General features: G+C 49.1%; 2 long non-coding RNA genes across 3 annotated transcripts, besides 1 other annotated feature; one reads left to right on the forward strand and one right to left on the reverse strand.

Annotated features, from left to right (window-relative positions):
- Positions 1–1,086: 1,086 nt before the first annotated feature.
- On the reverse strand, positions 1,087–2,362 carry LINC02189 (long intergenic non-protein coding RNA 2189). The gene is made up of 2 exons (NR_135181.1): positions 2,168–2,362; positions 1,087–1,406 (listed from the first exon to the last, which is right to left on the reverse strand). It is a non-coding gene; the product is annotated as a long intergenic non-protein coding RNA 2189 (long non-coding RNA).
- Positions 2,363–2,493: 131 nt separating this feature from the next.
- Positions 2,494–18,229, forward strand: LINC02188 (long intergenic non-protein coding RNA 2188). Of its 2 annotated transcripts, NR_135182.1 has the most exons (4): positions 2,494–2,550; positions 8,271–8,370; positions 15,229–15,312; positions 17,813–18,229. It is a non-coding gene; the product is annotated as a long intergenic non-protein coding RNA 2188 (long non-coding RNA). The 2 variants fall into 2 exon arrangements; NR_135183.1 differs by lacking the exon at positions 8,271–8,370 and having other exon boundaries at positions 2,494–2,534.
- Positions 13,346–13,640: a silencer, noted in NCBI's record as "tiled region #159; HepG2 Repressive non-DNase unmatched - State 20:ReprD, and K562 Repressive non-DNase unmatched - State 21:Repr". NCBI's record gives its function as "represses a minimal TATA promoter and a strong SV40 promoter by Sharpr-MPRA in HepG2 and K562 cells {active_cell/tissue: HepG2 | K562}" and the evidence as "EXISTENCE:reporter gene assay evidence [ECO:0000049][PMID:27701403]".
- Positions 18,230–20,985: the final 2,756 nt, after the last annotated feature.

Below are 20,985 nucleotides of genomic sequence, written 5' to 3' on the forward strand. Positions count from 1 at the left end.
GCAGTGGGTGCAGGGCAGCGTGGCGTGCTGGGAAGGAGCTACCATGCCGTCTTGAGATGTTGCTGGCAGATCCTCAGTAGCTTCAGACCCTGCTGGCTTGAGATGATGCCTGCAAAGCCTCAGTACCTTCAGACCCTGGCACTGACACACCGGAGAGTCACTGGGTGGGGGGCGGGCTCTGCGGCTCCCCATGGTTCGGGTTTTCCTGGCTCAAATGGAGATCACGGTTGTGTTTCAGGTAGGGCCTGGCACTGAAAATGCTTGGTATGGGTGGAGGTTGTTCTTTTTACCCACACATGATCTTTAAGATTGTGCTAGCGCATCTCACAAGACATTTGCTAAAACTGAATTGTATAACTTGCTTTGTGTTCAATGAGGAGGGAGCAGCCACACTGGAGAAAGATTTCAGCCATGACTACTGTGTATCACACATGAAATCCTGGCTTAAGGCTGTAGGACTCCATTACGCTGTTCCATGCACACACTACGTCTTTGCAGGTATCATGTCATTAGGTGTGATAACAGCTCAGCATTTTTACATTCTCCAAGCTATCATCATGTGCAAGGCATATTAGCTCCTCCTAGCCCAAAGCCAATAGAAATGTCAGTATGGCCCAAGGGGTGCCTGAGAATTTAAACCATGACACTTGAAGCAGGTCTAGGAGAACCACCCTGGAGGAATGGGCTGCAGGTGCAGCCTCTCCTGGATTTACAGGCTCATTCCCCAGTGGGCATCATCGTGGCTCCCACCTGGGTTCATCTCTTGAATCAGTTCTCTCTTCTGCATGGGTATCTGGGTATCCCTTGCAGAGTGCACACCTTTTTTATTTTTTGACATGATTTCAGATGTGCAGAAGAGGAGCACAAAAATCTCAAGATACCCTTCACCCAGAGTCCCCAAAATTAATATTTACCATATTTGTTGCATCTCTCTCTCTCTCTCTCTCTCACACACACACACACACACACACAGAGAGGAAGTTGCAGACAAGATGTGCCTTTACTATTAAATACTGCTGTGTGCATTTCCTGAAAACAAAGGGATTCTCTTCTGTAACCACAATGCAATTAACAAAACCAAGGATGTGGCATTGACACAATTCTATTAGCTACAGACCTCATTCACGTTTTTTCAATTGTCCTAAGACTGTTTGAGCCAAAAGAATATCCAAGATCATGCCTGGCATTCTGTTGTCGCATCTCTTTAGTCTCCATTAAGCAGAAAATCTTGAGTCTTTGTCTTTCATGACATTGATGTTTATTTTGTAGAATGCGTCACCATTTCAGGTTGTCCGAATTGTCCTTGTGGTCAGATTCACGTCAAGACTTGGGGCAACAACACCAGGATGTAATGTCCTCATCACATATATTGATCACGGGGCCTGTGGTGTTGATTTAGCCCGCTGCTGGTGGTAATACTTGGGTTATAGTTTTTGTACTGTAAAGTCACTATTTCACCTTATGTAGTAAGTTACAAGCATCTTACTAGGAGATCTTTAGTTAATTTTCCAAAGATTTAACGTGGAGCGAGGAACTCAATCAATGTTGAGCTCCTCTGAGAATCTAGCCCAGCAAATCCCAGTAGAGTGCAGACCCGGGCTGTGGGGAAGGCACAGGAGAAAACCTTTGAGGGGCCTTCAGGCCGGAAGGAACTTTAGCTACTCACCAGGTCTGCCCCCTTTTTGGCAGAAAGAGAAACTGGGATCTACAGGAGGGGCGTGCCTAGGGTACAAGGCAGAGAAGGGCACAGATGGCCAACTTCACCCTCTTGTGCCCTGGGATGATATAGGTTCCTCACATCACAGTAAGAGAGGACTTGCACCCTTCTGCTCACCAAGGGAACAAATGCAAACTAGAGAACTTGTGGGCATCTTAGACAGGGCTTTCATCTTTTTCTTTTCCTCACCCTCCTGATCATCCTCTGGTTCCTATTATTAAGAAAAAAAAAAAACCTGTCTGTCTATCCAACTGTCTTGCTATCTCTATCTGTGTATCCTTCTCCATAGCCAACCCTTTTTTATTTCTACTATGTATATATTTCTATACATCTGCGTCTATATCCACATTGCAATCTCTCTCTTTCTCTTGGTTTTCTTACCTTTCAATGTTAATTGCTAAATGGGAGTAGAGTGAACAACAATAAGAGCAAAAATATAATTTCCTTTACCTTTGCAATAACATTCATAAGGTATTACTGGGAAAACATTAAAAATGGGACCCTTGTTTGAAAGTAGCAGGCAGGAAACACCAAGAAGCTAGAGAAATTCTCTTCAGAAGCCCCCTCTGGCCCACTGAGGGTCACCTTGCTAGAGGTCATCCCTGTCCCTACAGTGGCATCTTGTATAGTGTAGGGCACTGGCTGGGTGCCAATCCCGAGTTGAGTGTTGTCCGATGCAGACACCCTTGGCTGATGACCTCAGACTTGCCTCGGAACCCTGGCTTTATGACCCAACTGTGTGCTATGGTCCAAATGTGTGTGTCTCCCTCAAATTTGAATATTGAAATTCTCACCTACAATGTGATGCTATCAAAAGGTGAGGTCTTCGGGAGGTGAGTGGTTTGTGAGGTAGAACCCTCATGCATGGGAATAGTGCCCTTATGAAAGAGCCCCAAGCCCGGGCACGGTGGCTCACACCTGTAATCCCAGCACTTTGGGAAGCCAATGTGGGCGGATCACCTGAGGTCAGGAGTTTTAGACCAGTCTGACCAACATGATGAAACCCCATCTCTACTAAAAATCCAGAAATGAGCCGGGCATGGTGGCGGGCGCCTGTAATCCCAGCTACTTGGGAGGCGGAGGCAGGAAAATCGCTTGAACCCGGGAGGCAGAGATTGCAGTGAGTGGAGACCATGCCATTGCACTCCAACCAGGGCAATAAGACTGAAACCCCATCTCAAAAAATTAAATAAATAAAAATAAAATAATAAAAAACGCCCCAGAGAGGCCCCTTGCCCCTTCCAGCATATATGGACTCTCGAGAAGGTGCCATCTATGAGTCAGGAAGTGACCTTCACCAGACACTGAAGTGGCCAGGGCCTTGATCTTGGACACCCCAGCCTCCAGAACCGTCAGAGATAAATCTCTGTTGTGCATGGGCTGCCCAGTGGATGATATTTTGTTACAGCAGCCCAGGTAGACAAAGACACCAAGTTTTCTTGTCATGAGATCTGAATGAATAATTCGCTGTGTGTGGTTTGACACTGCAGTGGCTTTTCTGACCCTCCACCTGCCACAATCTCCTTCCTGGATTAAACTCCTTCTCCTGTACATGCCGAGATGTTTCTGTTCCCCGGTTGTGTCTTGACCAACAGTCTTCACGAAGTCTTTCTTTTCAAGCTTACTCTGTCATGATTTTGGTGTCTGGTCATGCCCGGAAATGGAATAGAAAGACCTAGGATTCTCCCTTCACCCTAAGGGAAATCCTTGCTTCGCTGAAAATGGGTGAAGCTGTGGGCTGAAAAAATATGTGTTCCTTCTTTATCTGGCTTCTCTTCACTCAGCTTCTCTGTTCAGTCCCTGCATTATTCATTTTTGGTGCACTTCCAATGATGTCTTATTTCACAATCAGCCGTAATACTGATCATAGAAACTTTTGTATGTGCTGCTTTTTGTGCAATAAATCTCTATTTCAAGCAGTACTCCAGTGACTAGCTAACAGGCTATCTGTTTCACAGCTATGTAGGATAATTGAGGCCTACTATTACTTTGAGGTTTAATTTCTGAACCTAATTGTGTGTGTGCATGCGTGCAGGTGCGTGTGTGTGTGTGTGTGTGTGTGTGTGTGTTCGGGGGAGTCTGTGCACCCATGTGTGTGAACCCAGAATCATACAGGAGACAGGTGAATTGGTTGGCGTCTTTGAGTGGTGGGCTTGAAGGCACACAGCCTTCCTGGTTGACCTTAGACCGGTAAATTCAGGCCTGTTAAATTTCAGGTAAGGTCACTGCCATTTAAGGAGATCTGTTTTGCTTGAATATTCTGACTGTCAGTCCGCAGACATAGGGAGTGTGTGAGTGTGAGTGTGTACCAAGATGAGGAGGATAATCAGGCTCCGGCTCCGTTTTTCTGACACTTTTATGGCTGCCTTTCTTCTGTGCCTGGGCTTCGTTCTCATGCTCTTTCCCTCGTTGTTGCGGGATGGTGGCAGCATCAGCAGCTGCAGAAACTCTTGTTCATTTCCTAGCTCCGAGGAGCGTCATTTCTCCAACTTGGAATAAAAGCCCATCCTCTACCTGATTGGGCCACTCAGATCAAGGGCTTAACACTAGCAACAGTTGCTAAGGCACTGCTAGAAACCGATTAGCTGAAGCCTGGGTGTCTGAACCAATCATTGCCAAGGGGGCGGGACTTGCCCCATCCCTGGAACTATGAATGTCTCAGCCCCTTGAGATCACCTGGGCGTGGAAGAAAGTTGAAAAAAGAAATCAGAATTCGCTTAGGATGTAGGAGGTAGTGTGGATGCTGGGACAGCGACCAGTGCTGTCTACTGTAATTCCCAGTTTGGTGATGAGCAGCGTGAGGCTCAGGAGGATTAAATTTGCCTAAAGTTGCAGCTGGCCAGTCAAACATTGGAAACCAGATGTATTTTGGCTCTAAAGTCTTGTGGGTTTTCTTTGAACCCACAACTACTCTCTATAGATTGGGGACGCTGTGCCAAGCAGCTTTGTAGACTACCAATTACTCAGCCAGCCTGGGAATCGCTGCAGCATTATTGACAATAGCCAAAAGGTGGAAGCAACCCACGTGTCCATCAGTGAATGAATGAAGAAAGAAAATGGTGCATCCAAGTAATGGAGGATTATTCAGCTTTAACAAGGAATGAAGGGTGGGCACCTGCTACAACATGGATGAAGCTTGGGGACATTCTGCAAAAGAGACAGTCACCAAAGACAAACACTGTGTGATTCCACTTTGATAAAGCACCTAGAGTAGGCAGAATCATAGAGACGGAAAGTAGAAGGCACCGGACGCAGCGGCTCACGCCTGTAATCCCAGCCCTTTGGGAGGCCGAGGCAGGTGGATCTCCTGTGGTCAGAAGTTTGAGACCAGCCAGGCCAACATGATGAAACCTCGTCTCTATTAAAAATACAAAAATTAGCTGGGCGTGGTGGCATGCGCCAGTCATCCCAGTTACTCAGGAGGCTGAGACAGGAGAACTGTTTGAACCCAGGAGGCAGAGGTTGCAGTGAGCCAAGATCGTGCCATTGCACTCCAGCCTGGGCAACAAGAGTAAAACTTCATCTCAAAAAAAAAAAAAAAAAAAAAAGAAAAACAAAAAGAAAAAGATAGTAGAAGGGTGATTGCCAGGGACTTATGGGGTGGAGATGGGGAGTTATAATTTAGTGGGGACAGCGTTTCAGCTTAGGAAGATGAAAAAGTTCTGGAGGTGGATGGTGGTGATGGTTGTACAATAGTATGAATACAGTCAACACCACAGAACTACACGCTTGAAAGTGGTTATTGTGGTAAATTTTGTTACGTATATTTTACTACAATATAAAAAAAAAACAATTTTTTAAAAAGTTGTGCTCCAGAGAAAGTGGGCATTTTAACTTCTGCGTGGAGGGGTTTGGCTACAAGGTTCAAAACATCTGTCATGACTCTGGAGCCTCCGAAGCCTCCTAACTTCACTGGCCAGTGATGTCCGCTGCCTCTTCCTCTCTTGAATGTCATCTGGAAAAGTGAGCGGTGATATGTGGAAACGCTTCTCAATGCTCTTCCTGACAGCAATAGTTGGCCTGACACTAGAATTCTTCTCCACTGTACACTGACCCCCGTTGTGTGTCTGTTACCACCACGTTACTCGCCTACATTTTTAGCAATGTGTGACCTTGCACGTTTCCTGCCACCCTGCGCTCCTGACATGAGTAGTCTTGCATCTCTCTCCCCAGCCAGACAGCATGCATGGGCCAGAGTCATGTGCTTGGGGAAAAGGTGGGTTGTATCGACTCCACAACCAGTCAGAGTGCAGTGGGCCCATGTTTTGTAAAACATATGTTTGGCAAATGACTCCCTGTGGGTTGCAGAAATCCAGATGGGGGAAGTTTTCTAAGTGTGATGTCAGAATGTTACATCTGCTGATCCCACGGGTGCATGGGACCAATAAGAAGACGTGAGTTGGTTTGTCCGAGAAATTGCACGGCGTGGAGATCTGGGGGGCACATTCGAATCTGGAAAACAAAGGCCATAATGTGCACAGCCCTCTTTGGGCTTGCGTATTGTTAGAGCTAGGAGAAGTCTTAACATTGCCTAAAAGAGCTCCCAATTTTATGCACGAGGAAACTGAGGCATGGGGTGGTGGGTAAGGTGAGTTGCTCAAGGCTGTCTAAGGCTGGAACTTGAACCTGGGGCTCTGTAGTCTCAGCACAGCACCCTCAGCCCCATCACGCTGGACTAAGGCAGAGATTAAGGTTCTGGGTGTAACGTCAGACTGCCTGGAGGGCTAAGGCTCTGTTCCATCTGCTGAAAAGCTGTGCCACCCTGAGCCTCAGTTTCCTCATCTGAAAGCAGGGATTACAACAGGGCTTGTAGGTAGGGGTGTGTGTGCTGGGGGTGCTAAGTGATAGTGAAGATGATGAGTGTGAACAGGTGATGGACAGCAGCATGTGCCCAACACCGTGCTCAGCATTTCATGTCCAAATTCTCACTATGCTCACTCAGCCTCCATGCAGCCCCACAACATGGGTACCACTATCTTATCCTCTCCCATTTAATAATGAGGTGGCCAAGGCTACTTATGAAAAGAAACGAGGCGGTGCCTGTTGCATACAAAGATCCCAAACCCTAAACCTCTTTTACACATAGCTGGGAAGAAATGCATTTACTTTCCCTGGCCTTGGGCCAGTGGGTTGTTTAGAAACCTTCAGGGGAGCAGGAAGATGCAGCCCACAGCACGGAGATGGCCTTCCCGGGTCCTTGAGAAACAGGTATTTCATGCTGTGTTGGCACACAAGAGCCGGCCAACAATCCCTGTGCTTGTCTGCCTGGACTGTTGGGTAATTTTACAAATTGGCTTTTACTGGCAGGGGAGGTGGGCAGATGTAGGTAGTGGAATATTCCAGTAGGTCACAGGTTCAGATCCAGCCTGGTGGTTGGTGACTTCTGGGGTCATCTGCCCTCTGAGAAGCTGTTTGTCTATACTGATTGGGAACCTGGATCAATGCATTCAGCGAAGCCTGTTAACCTACTTGATTCCAGGCCTGTGCTACCTGCTGAAGACACAGTGGTGAACAAGACTGATAGAAATCATGTATTGATGAAAGTTTGAATCTAGTAAAAAAGAGAGATAATCATCCAAGCTTTAACGAAGACTGAGGGTGCCCAAGTTACCCCTCCTCCTGTTTAGTTTCTCATGGTTGACAAGTTAATAAATAAGCAAATTTAAAAAATACATATGTATATCTCAAGATGAGGATGGAAGCCTCATTCATGAGTGGGGTTATTGACGCATCCAACTTAAAGCCTCTGGGAAAGACAGTGTTCTGGGATAGCCCATGCTTCCCTTGTCTTCTCCCTGTCTCTGCCAGAATTGAAGGTGGCTGGACCCTCATCAGGAAGGATAGACATAGCTTACCTGTGCAGGTGCAGGCTGAGGTGCTGAACATCCAGGAGTGAAAATGGGAGCTGCTCCAAGAAGAGGCAGAGAACAGAACTCGCCTCTAGGATGCTGAGTCAAGTTATCATGCACTTGTGTCAGATGTCACTGCTCAAAATAGCTGCATGAGAGGCTGCAGTGAGCCGAGGTCGCGCCACTGCACTCCAGCCTGGGTGACAGAGCAAGACTCCATGTCGAAAAATAAAAAAAAAATTAATAAAAAACTAAAATAGCTGTATGACTCCTCCCCCTTTTTATTTGGGGGAGAGAGAGTTTGAGGTGGAGAGAGGAGAGATGGGCAGGAAGGACGGGTTCTCACCACGCTTTCTCACTGGGGAGAGAACAGGTATGTGTCCTCCCCTTGGGGAAAATACAGGGGCAAATACAGGGCACCAAGACAGCGAATTTCGGGGACTCCTCCTTGTCTTCAAGGAAGAGACCATGGATTCCAGATCCAGAGGACAGGTAGATGTTGGCCTGGCAGAGGTGGGGCTGGGGAGGAGGTTTTAGCCGGCGATTACTGCAGATCAAAGTCCCCAAGGAGAAAGAAAATATGGTCGGCCTAGGAACTGAAAGAAGTTTGGAGTGTTCAGCCTAAAATGAGGCATTTTATGTAAATTAGTGGGCATGATTCCTGCTACATCATATGTGCCTGATGGCTTATGGTTATTTTGCAGAAGTTTACTTCTTACTGGGTGGAGACACTTGGCATTTGTAAATGAGAATACCAATTTGAAGGAAGATAAGAAAAAGAACAAAACCTCCTAGCATAAACAGGTATCCTTGTATTAAACATCTCTGAGTGGATTCCTAAGGGCTGAGAGTCCGTGGGGAGGGGGTGTGGGAGAGGAAGGCTGGAGAGGAAAGCAGGTGCCAGTCTTGGGGATGTTTGCACCTTCTCTTGAGGGCAATGGAGAGTCATTTAAGAAGGAGCTGGTTGTGATCAGGTGTGGGTTGGAGGACATCATAGCTTGCAGGGGGACCAGCTGGGAGCAGCTACCAGCATCCAGGCAGGGAATGCGGGAGCAGGGTGGTGGTGATAAGGTGCTGCCGGGATCCAAGAGACATTTGGGGAGTGTGATTGGCAGGTCCCTGTGCTGATTGGATGGAAGGTAGAAAGAAGGATGAGTTGGAAATGATTCCTGGGGACTGCCAGGCAGGAGAGGGGTGAGAAGGAGGGATGAGATGGTGCTGGGAGTCCAGGCAGGGACATCAAGCTGGTTAGGACTCAGGAGAGAGCAGCAGGCTGGGGAGAGAGGCGGTGATGAGTGTGGTGGTTTAGGACAAGATTCCCAGGGAAGGAGGAACATGAGAAGACCTGGAGTAGAACCTTAAGAAACCAGTGTATGAAGAGCGAACAGGGGATGGGAGAAGGCTGTTTCTTGGACAGAAGGCACCATCGATCAGAACCCTTAGCTGAAGGGGACAGAGGGCTCAGCTTGGATGCTCATGTGACCTCAGTCAGCAGATACTCTATTAAAGTGCCAACTGTATGCAGAACCCAGAACTAGGAGCTTTGTGAGCCCTGAGGAGGTGTAAGACACAGAACCTGGAGGCTTTGTTATTTAATGCTTCTATTTCTCACATACGCCACTTGAGATATTCCTTCCAGAACTTTCTGTGCCCCTCAAAAATGGGGATGTGAGCAGCCTGGGTCTGTGGTCCCTGAGTTTGGCTGATCTCAGGACCAGATTAAGAAGTGAAAAGAGGTGGATGCTGGGACCCTTCCCTAAGCAGAGACTAATTCTATATGGGCATCACCCGAAAATCTCTGTTGAAAGAGTGTACCCGTTTCCTGTTGCCGCTGTAACAAATTGTCACAAAGTCAGGCCCTTAAATCAATACAAATATATTTTCTCATAGTGATGGAAGTTAGAAGTCCAAACTGAGACTTATGGGGCTCAAGTCAAGGTGTCTGCAGTGCTTGTTCCTTCTGCAGGCTCTGGGGGAGGACCCACCTTTGTCCCTTCAGCGTCCAGAGGCTGCCCACGCCCCTTGGCTTGTGGCTACACCACTCCAATCTCTGCTTGTGTCACCCCGTCACCTTCTCCTGTCTGATCTTCCTGCATCCCTCTCATAGGGGACCCCTTGTGAGTATAATCTAGGATAAGCTTCACATCACAAGGTCCTTAATCCTGTCTGCAAAGTCCCTTCGCCAGGTAAGGTCACATTCACAGCTTCCAGGGATTAGGATGTGGACATCGTTTGGTGGCCGTTACTTTGTTTATGTCACGGGGGAAAGACATGCATCTCTAGGCTGTCCTGCATCATGGTTATTGGCACTAACCAGCCAGGTTCCCCCACGCCCCGGCCACTGCTGAGCCCACCCTGCACCCTGGCTGCCCGCCATACCACCGGAGAGCACCTCTGCTCCACTGGGGCCGCTCAGATCTTCCTTCCTAGATCTTCTCTTCGTGCCTAGTGCAATGCTCCTTAAACCTTATGGCCCACTCAAAAGGCCTAGGGGATATTGTTAAAATCTAGCTCCAGCTCTGCAGCCTGGGGAGGCGCCTGATACTGCATTTCTAGAGACTTCTGGGGATGCAGATGGTGCTAGTCATGGATCACATTTTGAAAGGCGAGGCTCGAAGGGGCATATTTCATTGAGTTTCCATTCACTGCGGACCCCTTTGCCTAGAAGAGAGCTTAGCACACAGTAAGTGCTTGACGCATGCTCATGAATGAATGGTGTCTCCACGGTAACACCCTGTTTCTCAGGACCAGGATCTCAGCATCTTTTTCCAAGTCTTGTCACCAGGCCTTTGGCTAACTTTGGAGCTGTGAACAGAGATGGACAAGCCACAGAAGGCACCACACTGGCTTGATGAATAACAGACCAGACAGGCAGGCAGACACACACTGGCCCCCTTTTCCCCTGTAACACGCTACGTCTGTTATTTATATGCTATTTGACTCGCTTATGTGTAACTCAAAACCTTAGGTTACCTCACCAACCCCACTGCACCCCTGTTAAATTAGGGCCAGTTGGGCTGAAGCAGCCCCTCTGAGCCCTCCCCCATTGTCTGTGTGCGTTCCTGACTACTGTTAGGTCTCCCAAAGCTTACTGGGAATGGCCCCCAGCCCCACCCGGGCTTGGGAGCCTGCCACAGACTCACTGCAGGTTCTGTTTATTATTGTAGAGAAGCAGTTTTCCAGGGGGTTGAAATACTTGTTAAAATTAAGGTGAAAAATGTAAACCACAGCCAGGTCCTGTCACCTGACGCTTCCAAAGCCTCTTGTTTCTCCAGGCACCCCCTTCTGCAGGTCTCAGCTCCGGTGAAGAAGAAGGCCAGCTGCCCAGCAGACAGGGACAAGGAGTGTGCCCACATCTCTGGGGCAGGTACAGCTGTCCTAGGAAGTGGAGGCACCTGCTGAGCTTGTACAAAAAAGGCCGCTTGGGAAGGTTGAAGAAATCCAGTTGCGTGAGCTTGACAAATGATTAGAGGAGAAAGAAAAAGAGCCCGCAAAACCCACGGGCATTTGAGGGACCGACCATCCGCTTGGAGTCAACTCTATCTCATAAAGAACGAAGTAAATATTCCACCCCAGCCTGAGGACTCTCGGCATCTTGGCATCTTGGGGTCTGCGATACATCAAAGGGAAAGGATGAAGCATTGTGACAACTTTAAATACCAACGGCAGCGCCTATTCAAGGAAAACCACAGAGGGGCTGCCTTCCTTACCCAGAACGCCAATTCTGTTTCCTAGGAATTACTACTAAGCAGCTTTTTATTTCCTGCAGGAACCCTCCCTCACTTTTTTTTAAAGATGGGAAAGGAGGGCGATTTAGGGAGACTTAGCCTTAAAAGCTCGTTAAAATGGCACTGGCTGCAGCGGGAGGATGGAGCTGGAAGTGCCCTGTGCTGTGGGGCGGGGACTGTCACCTCAGGGCCCTGCAGGAAGCCGCATTCTCCCAACTAGGTCCAAAGAGGACTCAGGCACCTTCGGAGAGGCCCTTCCCAACTTCCTCCAGAGATTAGATTAGCAAATGGGGAAAATAGTAGATTTTTATTAAACATTAATGAATCTGAACTTTTCTTCCAAAGCAGGTTCAAGTTCAGGACACATCTTTGACAGCTTTTAGCAGCCAGCTCAGTGCTGGAAGGTGCCCTCCATATAAATATTTTTAGGTGATGTATCATTTCTGATATAGAAGATGATGGAATGTGGATTTTAGGATCTGGGTTCAAAGCCCAGCTCTTCAGCTGTTTGAGGCTGAGTGATGTCAGGAAAACCCTAGTCTGGGACTCTCTCCATCTGCGAAGGTGCCTTCCTTTTCACAGAGACGTTAGGAGGCTAAAACCAAGAGGGGACCCTACCAGTTCTCACAGGTGACATGTGAGAAGGCGGTGATGGGATGCTTGGAGTTTTGATGGAGGAGGGGCCGTTGGAGCCAGGCAGGTGAGGCTGTGATGAACCTCCCTCTGTCTCAGACTCTGCTGTTGTGCAGGGCGAGGGGCACCTGCGAGACATCCAGTCCTAGGGAGCTGTTTATGTTCATGGCACTGAGATCGTTAAAGACCCATTTATCCCAGATTAGAAACAGGGTGATACCTCTAAGAAGCAAAGACTTATGACTGCAAATGGTACCTCTCCACCTGGCGTTGTCCACCTATCAGATCATCAGGAGATGACCTGTGGGAACTGCCAGTGGGGGCACCACCGTCAAGGATGCTGAAAGGACTCAGAGACCTGGTTGAGGTCCCAAGATGAAATACCATGGTGGGGACATCCCCTCTGCCCCTTGAGCAAAGGAAGAAGGAATTAGCCCAAGTCTCAGAGTTTATGGGACCCCTGATTCAAGACATACCTAGTTATTCTGATGTCCACTGAAAAAGGAGTTATAGTGGGGATTTCTGCTGTTCAATGAGCTTTGGAAAAAAGTGTTGATGGACATCAGTCAGTTTTAAAAATCTTCAGATGAAACTTCTACCTTGTAACTAATTTAAAATAGTATAGACAAAGGTACTTCTGGAGCGGGGGTCTCCAGGGCAGCTCACTAGATCCAGGTGCTGAGCTGAGCACTGTCCGTTCCGTCTCTCTCAGTTCTCAGAGCCAACCTGTAGGGAAGACACTGCCGCTGCACCCATTTCACAGATGTGAAAGCATGCACAGAATAATTTTTAAAAACCCCACGCCAAAAAGTGAGGAGAAATAGTGAGTTAGGGAGGAGGACCTTGAACCCAGACAGGCAGACATCAGAGCCAGCATGGTTCTACCTGGCTGTCAAGTCAGGGTGTGTGTGTGTGTGTGTGCACGCGTGCGTGCATGTGTGCTAAACACATATTCAGTTCTGCCATTTTTTCATTTACAGAAACGTTTTGGAGTTTATTAATCTGCTGCTCATTTTCGAAAATGCCATCAGCATCTTTCCTGTAACATGTAGAGGGCCCCCTCCTTTGGAAACTGCGGTGTATGGCTGGCAGGTGCAATTGTTTGACCATTTCTGAGTAGCGCTCATTTCTGCAGGCTTCTGCCAGTTTGGAGCTGTCACAAGCAAGGCTGCCGGGGGCCTCTTTGCTCCTTTATGTTTGGACACCAATGGTTGCTTTGCTGTAGGAAAGACGGTGAGATTTCGGGGTAGGATGCAGGCGCTGTTGGTGCTGGGTGGGGGGTGGCAGTAGCTCTGCTGGCTTGGTGCGAACTGTGCGTGGTTGGGGGGTGAACTGGGTGAGTAACTGTGCAGCCTGCCAGGCCCTTGTGTGAGTCTAGGACAGATGAGGAACGCAGGAATTTAATTCCAGATGATTACCTTCCTCCTTTTGAACGCTGAATCTTGCAGGAGAGCTGCCAGGGCTCTTCACAAATCGAAGGCAATTCAGATGGTGGGTGGTCTCCTAATCACCAGGCAATTAGATGTGAGGAAGCATTTCCCCGCAGACGTGCGCATTTATTCAGCTGCTTGGTGAGCTCAGCGCCGGCCTCCTCCTGCATCCCGACAGCGCAGGAAGCCGGGCCTCCGCGTCAGTGCCTGGGAACCGCCTGAGGATTTCTGGGCGACCAGGAGCCAGGGCCGCCACCGTTCCCGGGACGGGGAAGAGGAGGTTCACATTTCACTCCTGGAAGGAGAAAATGGAAAATGTTCTACCGGGAGGCACGAATCACTCTGGCACATGCGGTGGTAGCTGCAGCAGGAACGAATTCAGCCCATGACATTTGAGTGTACGAGAAATTCTCTTTATTATCAGTTTCTTCTCAATCCCAATTGCAACTCTCGCCTGCCCAGCCCCATGCATCAGGGTTTTTGAGAGATTTAACTTTGGTCCTTTTACCCTTTTAGGGGGTTGGGCTGAGACCCTTAACATCCTCCAGAGTATGTTAAGGGTCTCAGGGGGTCTCAAGCCATCAGAAATATTTGGGGGAGGGGGTCTGGTGCTCCTTCCACCAGGGTCACTGTGGAGACACCTGCGGTGCACGGTCACAGCTCCTGTGGGCAGGAGCTGTTGACGACACAGGTGCGTGGCGGGGGCGACCAGAGCCTTCTAAGAGCTGCAGGAATGCCCGACCCACACTCTAGGGCAGGAAGAGCAGCGGGAAGCCCTGGGAGGCCAGCCAGCCGTTTAGCTCCTCCCTGGGAGCCATTCTCCAGCACAGGTGCCAGATTCATAAATAAAAGTACAGGATGCCCGATTCAATGTGCGTTTTACATAAGCAATTCTAGTCATGGTCCTGTGGCTGCTGTAACAAATCACCTCAAACTGGGGCGCTTAAAACAGCAGAAATGTATTATCAGTCTAGAGGCCGGAAGGCCAACGTCAAGGTGTCAGGGCGGGGCTCCCCCAGGAGGATCCAGGACCCTTCCGGCCTCTTCCTGCTCCTGGGGGCTCCAGGCGTCCCTTGGTTCGTGGCTGCATCGCTCCAGTCTCTGCCTCCGCCCTCACGCGGGCTCCTCCCTGCGCGTCTCTCCTCCTCTGTCTTCACCTCATTGGTATGAGGACACCAGTCACTGGACTTAGGGCCCGTCCTGCTCCAATATGACTTCGTCTTAACTATTTACCACTGCAAAGAACCTATTTCCATATGGAGTCACCTTCTAAAGTTCCGGGTGGGCATGAACTTCTTGGTGGACGCTATTCAACCCATAATAACAATGAAAAAGTTTTTTTTACTTCTACAGGACCTATTCTATGCTAAAATAGTTCTTTTTTAAATCTGAAATTCAAATATTACAAGACATACTAAAAACTATTCATTTTTACCTGAAGTTCAAATATTGCATGAGATGTAGATATTAAAATTATTTATCTGAAATTCAAATATTGCATGGGATATACTTATACTAAAAAGGCATCCCTATTTTATCTGGTAACTCTCTTCCTGCGTCCCCCCGCGTCCGTGTGTGTCCTGCCCCTGTGCGGTTCTGCCGTCTTTCAGGCCTCCGTGTTTCCGTGGGAGAGAGAGAGAGCGCACAGGTCACCCACCCCCGGGGCACTGCAAGTGTTAACCGCCCTCCCCCACCCCCACTGGCTGCAGGCCCCAGTCCTGCGGGTGTGAGGAGAGCTCAGACTTTGGAAACTGAATAATGCTGCTCTCGCCTTCCTGCATGGGGGTAGGGAAAGGAAATGCTTTAGTGAGATTGCAAAGCAGGAAAAAAAAAAAAGGTCAATCAGTAACTCTTTTCTCTGTATCCATTAGAGATTGCTGGTGAGACAGCAGCCACTGCTCCCAGGCCCGACAACAGGGGCAGCACCAAAGCTGGTCAGTGTTTCCTCCTTACAGGTAAGGGACGTGGGGAAGAGGAGAGAACTTGACGGCCTTGCTTATTAATTCAGAAAATGTATTAAGGTTGGGTGTGTGGGGGAGTGTGCAGTGAGCAGATAGGGAATCCACAGGCTGTGACCCAGATCCTTGTTTGGGGCAGAGAGACCCGGGCACAGGCACGTAGCACACGGCGTCGGACGGCTCCTGTGCCCGGTTCTGTGCAGAGCCCTGAACAGGACAGTTCTCACAACAGCCCAGCAGCCTCAGTGAATGTCCTGTGGACACCTGAGGGACGCTGAGAGGTAGACCATGGTCCTCAAGGTCACGCAGTTGCTAAGTGAGGGAGTGGAAGTGACTGACTCCCCTGGCCTGACTCAGAACCCACAAACGCGGAAATCCAAACTTCTGAGGCTGTTCCTTCTCTTGGATGTGCATGTATTTCTTCGTTCCTTGAGTAATGATTGCATTTTACTATGGGCTGGAGGCTGAGAGAGGCTCAAGGCCACATGTGGTAACATCACACATGGCTCCAGACTCAACAGATAATATGACAGTCCTATTGCACTTCTAGAAATTCAGGATAAAAAAATAATAATGTGCGTACCCAGGGAGAAAAAATGACAAAGCACCCATCACAAATATTTATGCCCCAAATAACATACCCAAATAACATGCTTTACCATTTTTGTAAGAAGCAAAAATTGGTTAAAAGTACAAAAAGGAATAGCGAGAAACACCACGAAAAGGGATTCTCTAAACTTTTAAACGATCAGGTAAAATGAAATTTGTTTATTAAGTTGATGTCTTGGTCTGTTTTCTGTTGCTATAACAGAACACCTGAGACAGGGTAATTTACAATGGAAAGGAATTTATTTCTTATAGTTCTGGAGACTGGGAGGTCTCCAGAAGGGGCAGCATCTGGTGAGGGCCTTCCTGCTGGTGGGGACTCTCTGCAAGGTCCCATGGGGGTGCAGGAACTTACTTCTTACAGTTCTGGAAGCTGGGAAGTCTCCAGAAGGGGCGGCATCTGGTGAGAGCCTTCCTGTTGGTGGGGACTCTGCAAGGTCTCATGGGGGTGCAGGCATCTCAGAGTGAGGAGGCTGAGCCTGCAAGTCAAGCCCTCCCTTTCTCCCCTTGGAAAGCTGCTCCTTCCCACCCTCACGACCTCATCTAATCCTAATCACATCCCAAAGCTTCCAACTCTCCAATAGCAGAGGCAGATTTCCTATCCTCTTACTGTCACCATGGGGATTAAGTTTCAACAGGAGTTTGGGAGAGGACAAACATTCAAACCTTGGCAGTTGACTTAATGGATACAAACAAAAGTTATATTACAAATGGAAATTCAAGGGTGGTGTCAACACAGATGCCACCTTCTCCCCCTTGTTTTCAGGGACTAGGCTTTATTTCCAACCTTGGCCTTCTCAAGGAGACTAGTTGAAGGCCTGCCATCCTGGAGGGACCTGGCCAGCCCCAGCCCCAGCCCACCCTGACAGCTCTAGAGCTGTCCTTCCGTTAGATGGCCCCCTATACCCTGAAGCCTTAAACGACACCCAACACCATGATCCTACTGGATAGTGCCCTAAAATGCTCCTGGGTCATTTCATGCCTGGAAGGCAGGAGGAAGCTAAAATCCCACCGTTTTCTCCACTTGTTGGACTGTCTGCCCCATGAGGGAACAAAAGCTCCATCGACGAGCGTGGATCCAGAAGCCCAGGCAATCAGGCTGGAGCCTTCCTTACTTCTGCTGTCTGCAGTGACCACTCTGGATTTGGGATCCAGCCTCCCTGAGACTGTAAACATCTGGGTGAGAGCCAGCCGTGGCTGAGCCCATAATTACTGGCTGCAGCCTCCCTACGGCGGCACAGAGGAGGTGGGTGGAGAATGGTTACCAGGGCCTGTGTGATATGAGTCCCTAAAAACACTCTCAATCAATGGGCAGATTGAGCCTTCTCAAACCATGTCACATACCAGCATCTGTGACATGTGGTCCAAATCAAGTTGGCTTAGCCTTCCATCTGGAAGGATATCATTAGAGGTAGTTGAAACCAGGAAACTTCACACCAAAGACATGAGTCCACAGTTTGAGACAATGTGGTATTCACTTCCAGCTCCATACAGTCCTTGGGTAAATGGTGGCTTAATGTTTGGCCTCAGAAGACTTTGCTCTTTTACTAGAGGCTAAATTTGTCCCCGAGTGCCCATGGCCCTGTGGAAAACTTGGGCTAAGACTTCAGATATGACTTAACTTTTGGTCAAGATACAGACATGCATTCATGCAAGTAAACAGACGCATGCCTGTGTGTCTGCCGCATGCAGGGGGTGGTGGGGAGAGGAGAAGGAAACCCACAGTTTCTCTGTTGTTTCAGGGACCTGTTTCAGGCCTAAAGTTTCCTAAAACAGTCATGCACGTGTTTGTTCTCCATTCTCACTTCACTCTGAGCACTGTGAGTCCAGCTTCACGGCAAAGCCCTGTGTGCGGTGAGCAGTGGTTCACTCCTGGCTTTTGTACATGCAGGTCTGAAGGTGCTGCAGAGGAGGGTGCTTCCCAGAGATCACCCCTGTGACAGACAGATCGATTGAAGGACCCCTGAATGGCTGAATTGAGAAGAACAAGCATATTAGGAGGCCATACAATGGGAGCCTCTCAGGCAGACAGACAAAGCCGTGGAAACTGCAGACTTATTTGTATGTTCTGGTAAACACCTTTGCTTCATTTTCCCCGTCTCCGCCTGGACTGAGGGTCACCTCACCTCTCCTGGTGTCCAGAGCCTCCTTCAGGACAGATGTTGCAAACCTGAGTTCTCACAAACAGCGGGGTCCAGCCCTTCTCAACACTGGAAAGCCCTTGAGCCATCTTTGATTTGTGTGTTTTGATCTAATTGCACTACTGCTTGCAATGCTTGTTTTTAGCGGTGAGTGCTGGTTTAATTTGTTTCTTTCTGGTCTCCCAGCCCCACTCCAGAATTTTGGCTCCTGGAGAGGAGGGGCCCTGAACTGGCATTTTCAGTGAAGCATCCCAGTGCCTTGAATCCAGTAAGCAGCCAGGTGTCTGTTGGCTTCATGGTTTAACAACCTACCATTTGAAGAATCGCAGAGATGAATTAAAAAGAGCCCCGGAGAGGCTCCCCGATCCAGTTGCACTTCCTGCTTAAGCAAAGTAAAGAAAAACAGGAATGAAAACATAACCCAATGGGTTAGTTCCATGCTGGCCATTGATGAGGTTGCAGCCACCATCAGAAGAAGGCCAAACGGTTAGAAAGACACGGCGGTGAGGAAGATGAGCCTCATTATCGACTGTCACCTGCAGCCCTGCACAGGTGCTCAGAATCTAACACTTGATGGCTGGTTGAGATTCCCGGAGTCCTAATTAGGAATGAGGAGTCAGGCTGGCAGGACCCAGGGAAAGCAAAAAGAGAAGGCAGAGAAGCTCCAAGTCTGCCTGTCTTCGTGATCCAGAACACGTAGTCCTGCTGCACAAGTAACTCACAATCTTCCTGTGTCCAGCTGTCATTAGACCCTTGGCTGATAGAAAAATGCAAGTTAGCACACTGCAGCCTCGGTGTCGTCAGTACTGCACGTCACTCTCTCCAGCACACCGCGGCCTCGGCGTCATCAGCACTGCACGTCGCTCTCTCCAGCACACCGCGGCCTCGGCGTCGTCAGCACTGCACGTCGCTCTCTCCAGCACACCGCGGCCTCAGCGTCATCAGCACTGCACGTCGCTCTCTCCAGCACACCGCGGCCTCGGCGTCGTCAGCACTGCACGTCGCTCTCTCCAGCACACCGCGGCCTCGGTGTTGTCAGTACTGCACGTCGCTCTCTCCAGCACACAGCACAAGCACCATCCTATCAAGTCCCCAGCAAGCCTTTGTCTCCTTGCAGTCAGCTCCTCTCTTGCTGGCCTGCCTGTTGCCTCCTTGCTGTGTATTTTCCTACTTTCTCTAATTTGCCTTTTTTTTTTATTTTTGAGATGAAATTTTGCCTCAGCCTCCCAAGTAGCTGGGACTACAGGTGCGTTTCACCACGTCCATCTAATTTTTGTATTTTTCGTAGAGACGGGTTTTCACCATGTTGGCCAGGATGGCCTTACCTCAAGGACCTCCTGATCCGCCTGCCTCGGCCTCCCAAAGTGTTGGGATTACAGGCATGAGCCACTGCACCTGGCCTAAATCTGCCTTTCTTAACCTACAATTGTCTTTACCCTGAGCCGCTGGCCCCAGATAGTCGCTGCTCACCCATGACAATATTTCACCACTGAGATCATTTATCCTCAAAAAAATGAGTAGAATGGCCACGGAATTGTGTGCAAAGAATGAAGGAGCAAAACAGTCTTGGAGTCTTAGGAGCAAAACATCTGCATTACTAATATCCTCCCAAGTCCACCAAGCCTCAGCTAGGAACGGTTCCCCACTTGTGAAGTGTCTGATAAGTTCTAGTTTCCTTCCTTCCTTTCTTCCTTCCTTCCTTCCTCTCTCTCTTCTTTCTTTCTCTTTCTCTCTTTCTTTTCTTTCTCTTTACCTTTCTTTCTTTCCTTTCTTTCTATCTTTCTTCTCTCAATCTTTCTTTCTCTCTCTCTCTTTTTGACAGTCTCACTCTGTTGTTCAGGCTGGAGTACAGTGGCACAATCTCAGCTCACTGCAACCTCTGCGTCCCAGGTTCAAGCAATTCTCCTGCCTCAGCCTCCTGAGTAGCTGGGATTACAGGCTCTCGCCACTACATCCAGCTGATTTTTGTATTTTTAGTAGAGGTGGGGGTTTCCCCAAGTTGGCCAGGCTGGTCTCGAACTCCTGACCTCAGGTAATCCGCCCACCTCAGCCTCCCAAAGTGCTTGGATTACAAGCGTGGACCACCACACCTGGCTCATTGATTCATTTATTCATCTGATAGGTATTTATTGAACATAAAGTGCCACAGACCGGGTGGCTTAAATGACAGAGATTTATTTTCTAACAGTTCTGGAAGCCGGAAGTCTGAGATCAAGGTGCCGGCAGGACTGCTTCCTCCAAGCCCTCTCTTTTTGGCTTGTAAGAGCTGTCTTCTCTCTGTGTCCTCACAAGGTCGCCCTCCGTGCGTGTCTGTGTCCTCATCTCCTCTTATTACGGAGACACCAGTCCTACTGGATTAGCTCCCATGCTGGTGACCTCATTCTACCTTAATTACCTCCATAAATGCCCTATCTCCAAACACAGTCACATTATGACATCCTGGGGGTTGGACTTCGACGTGTGAGTTTGGGGGGATGCAACCCAGCCCACAATAAACAGCAAATACGATTAGAGCTTCTCACAGATACAAAGCCATTGTCGTGCAGCTCATGCCCTCCTCGGGGGAAGAAGCCAGTAAGTCACAGAGATCAGTAACGCAGGTGGGGACGAAGGTGTAGAGGAGAGCCAGGCACGGAGGCCTGTTGGAGTGCGGGTGCTTTGCAATTTTAGAAGCCGAGGTCTAGGGGAGGCCGGACTTGAAAGACGACGTCTGGGCCAAGTGCAGAGAAAGGTGGCGGATGAGCTGGAAGGAAGCCTGGGAGAAGGCACTTTGGGCGTAGGGTTTTGAGACACAGCTGTGTTTTGCCCGTGGCACGGGAGCTCTGGGGCCGGCATGGCCCGTGTGGCCTAGGTGGAGGTGGGAGGGGAGGCGGGAGAAGGGGTGCCCTCGAGATCTCGGGAGGCACTGGCCACGGAGAGCCCT

This window comes from Homo sapiens, chromosome 16 (genome assembly GCF_000001405.40).
Source record: "Homo sapiens chromosome 16, GRCh38.p14 Primary Assembly".
NCBI lineage: Eukaryota > Metazoa > Chordata > Mammalia > Primates > Hominidae > Homo > Homo sapiens.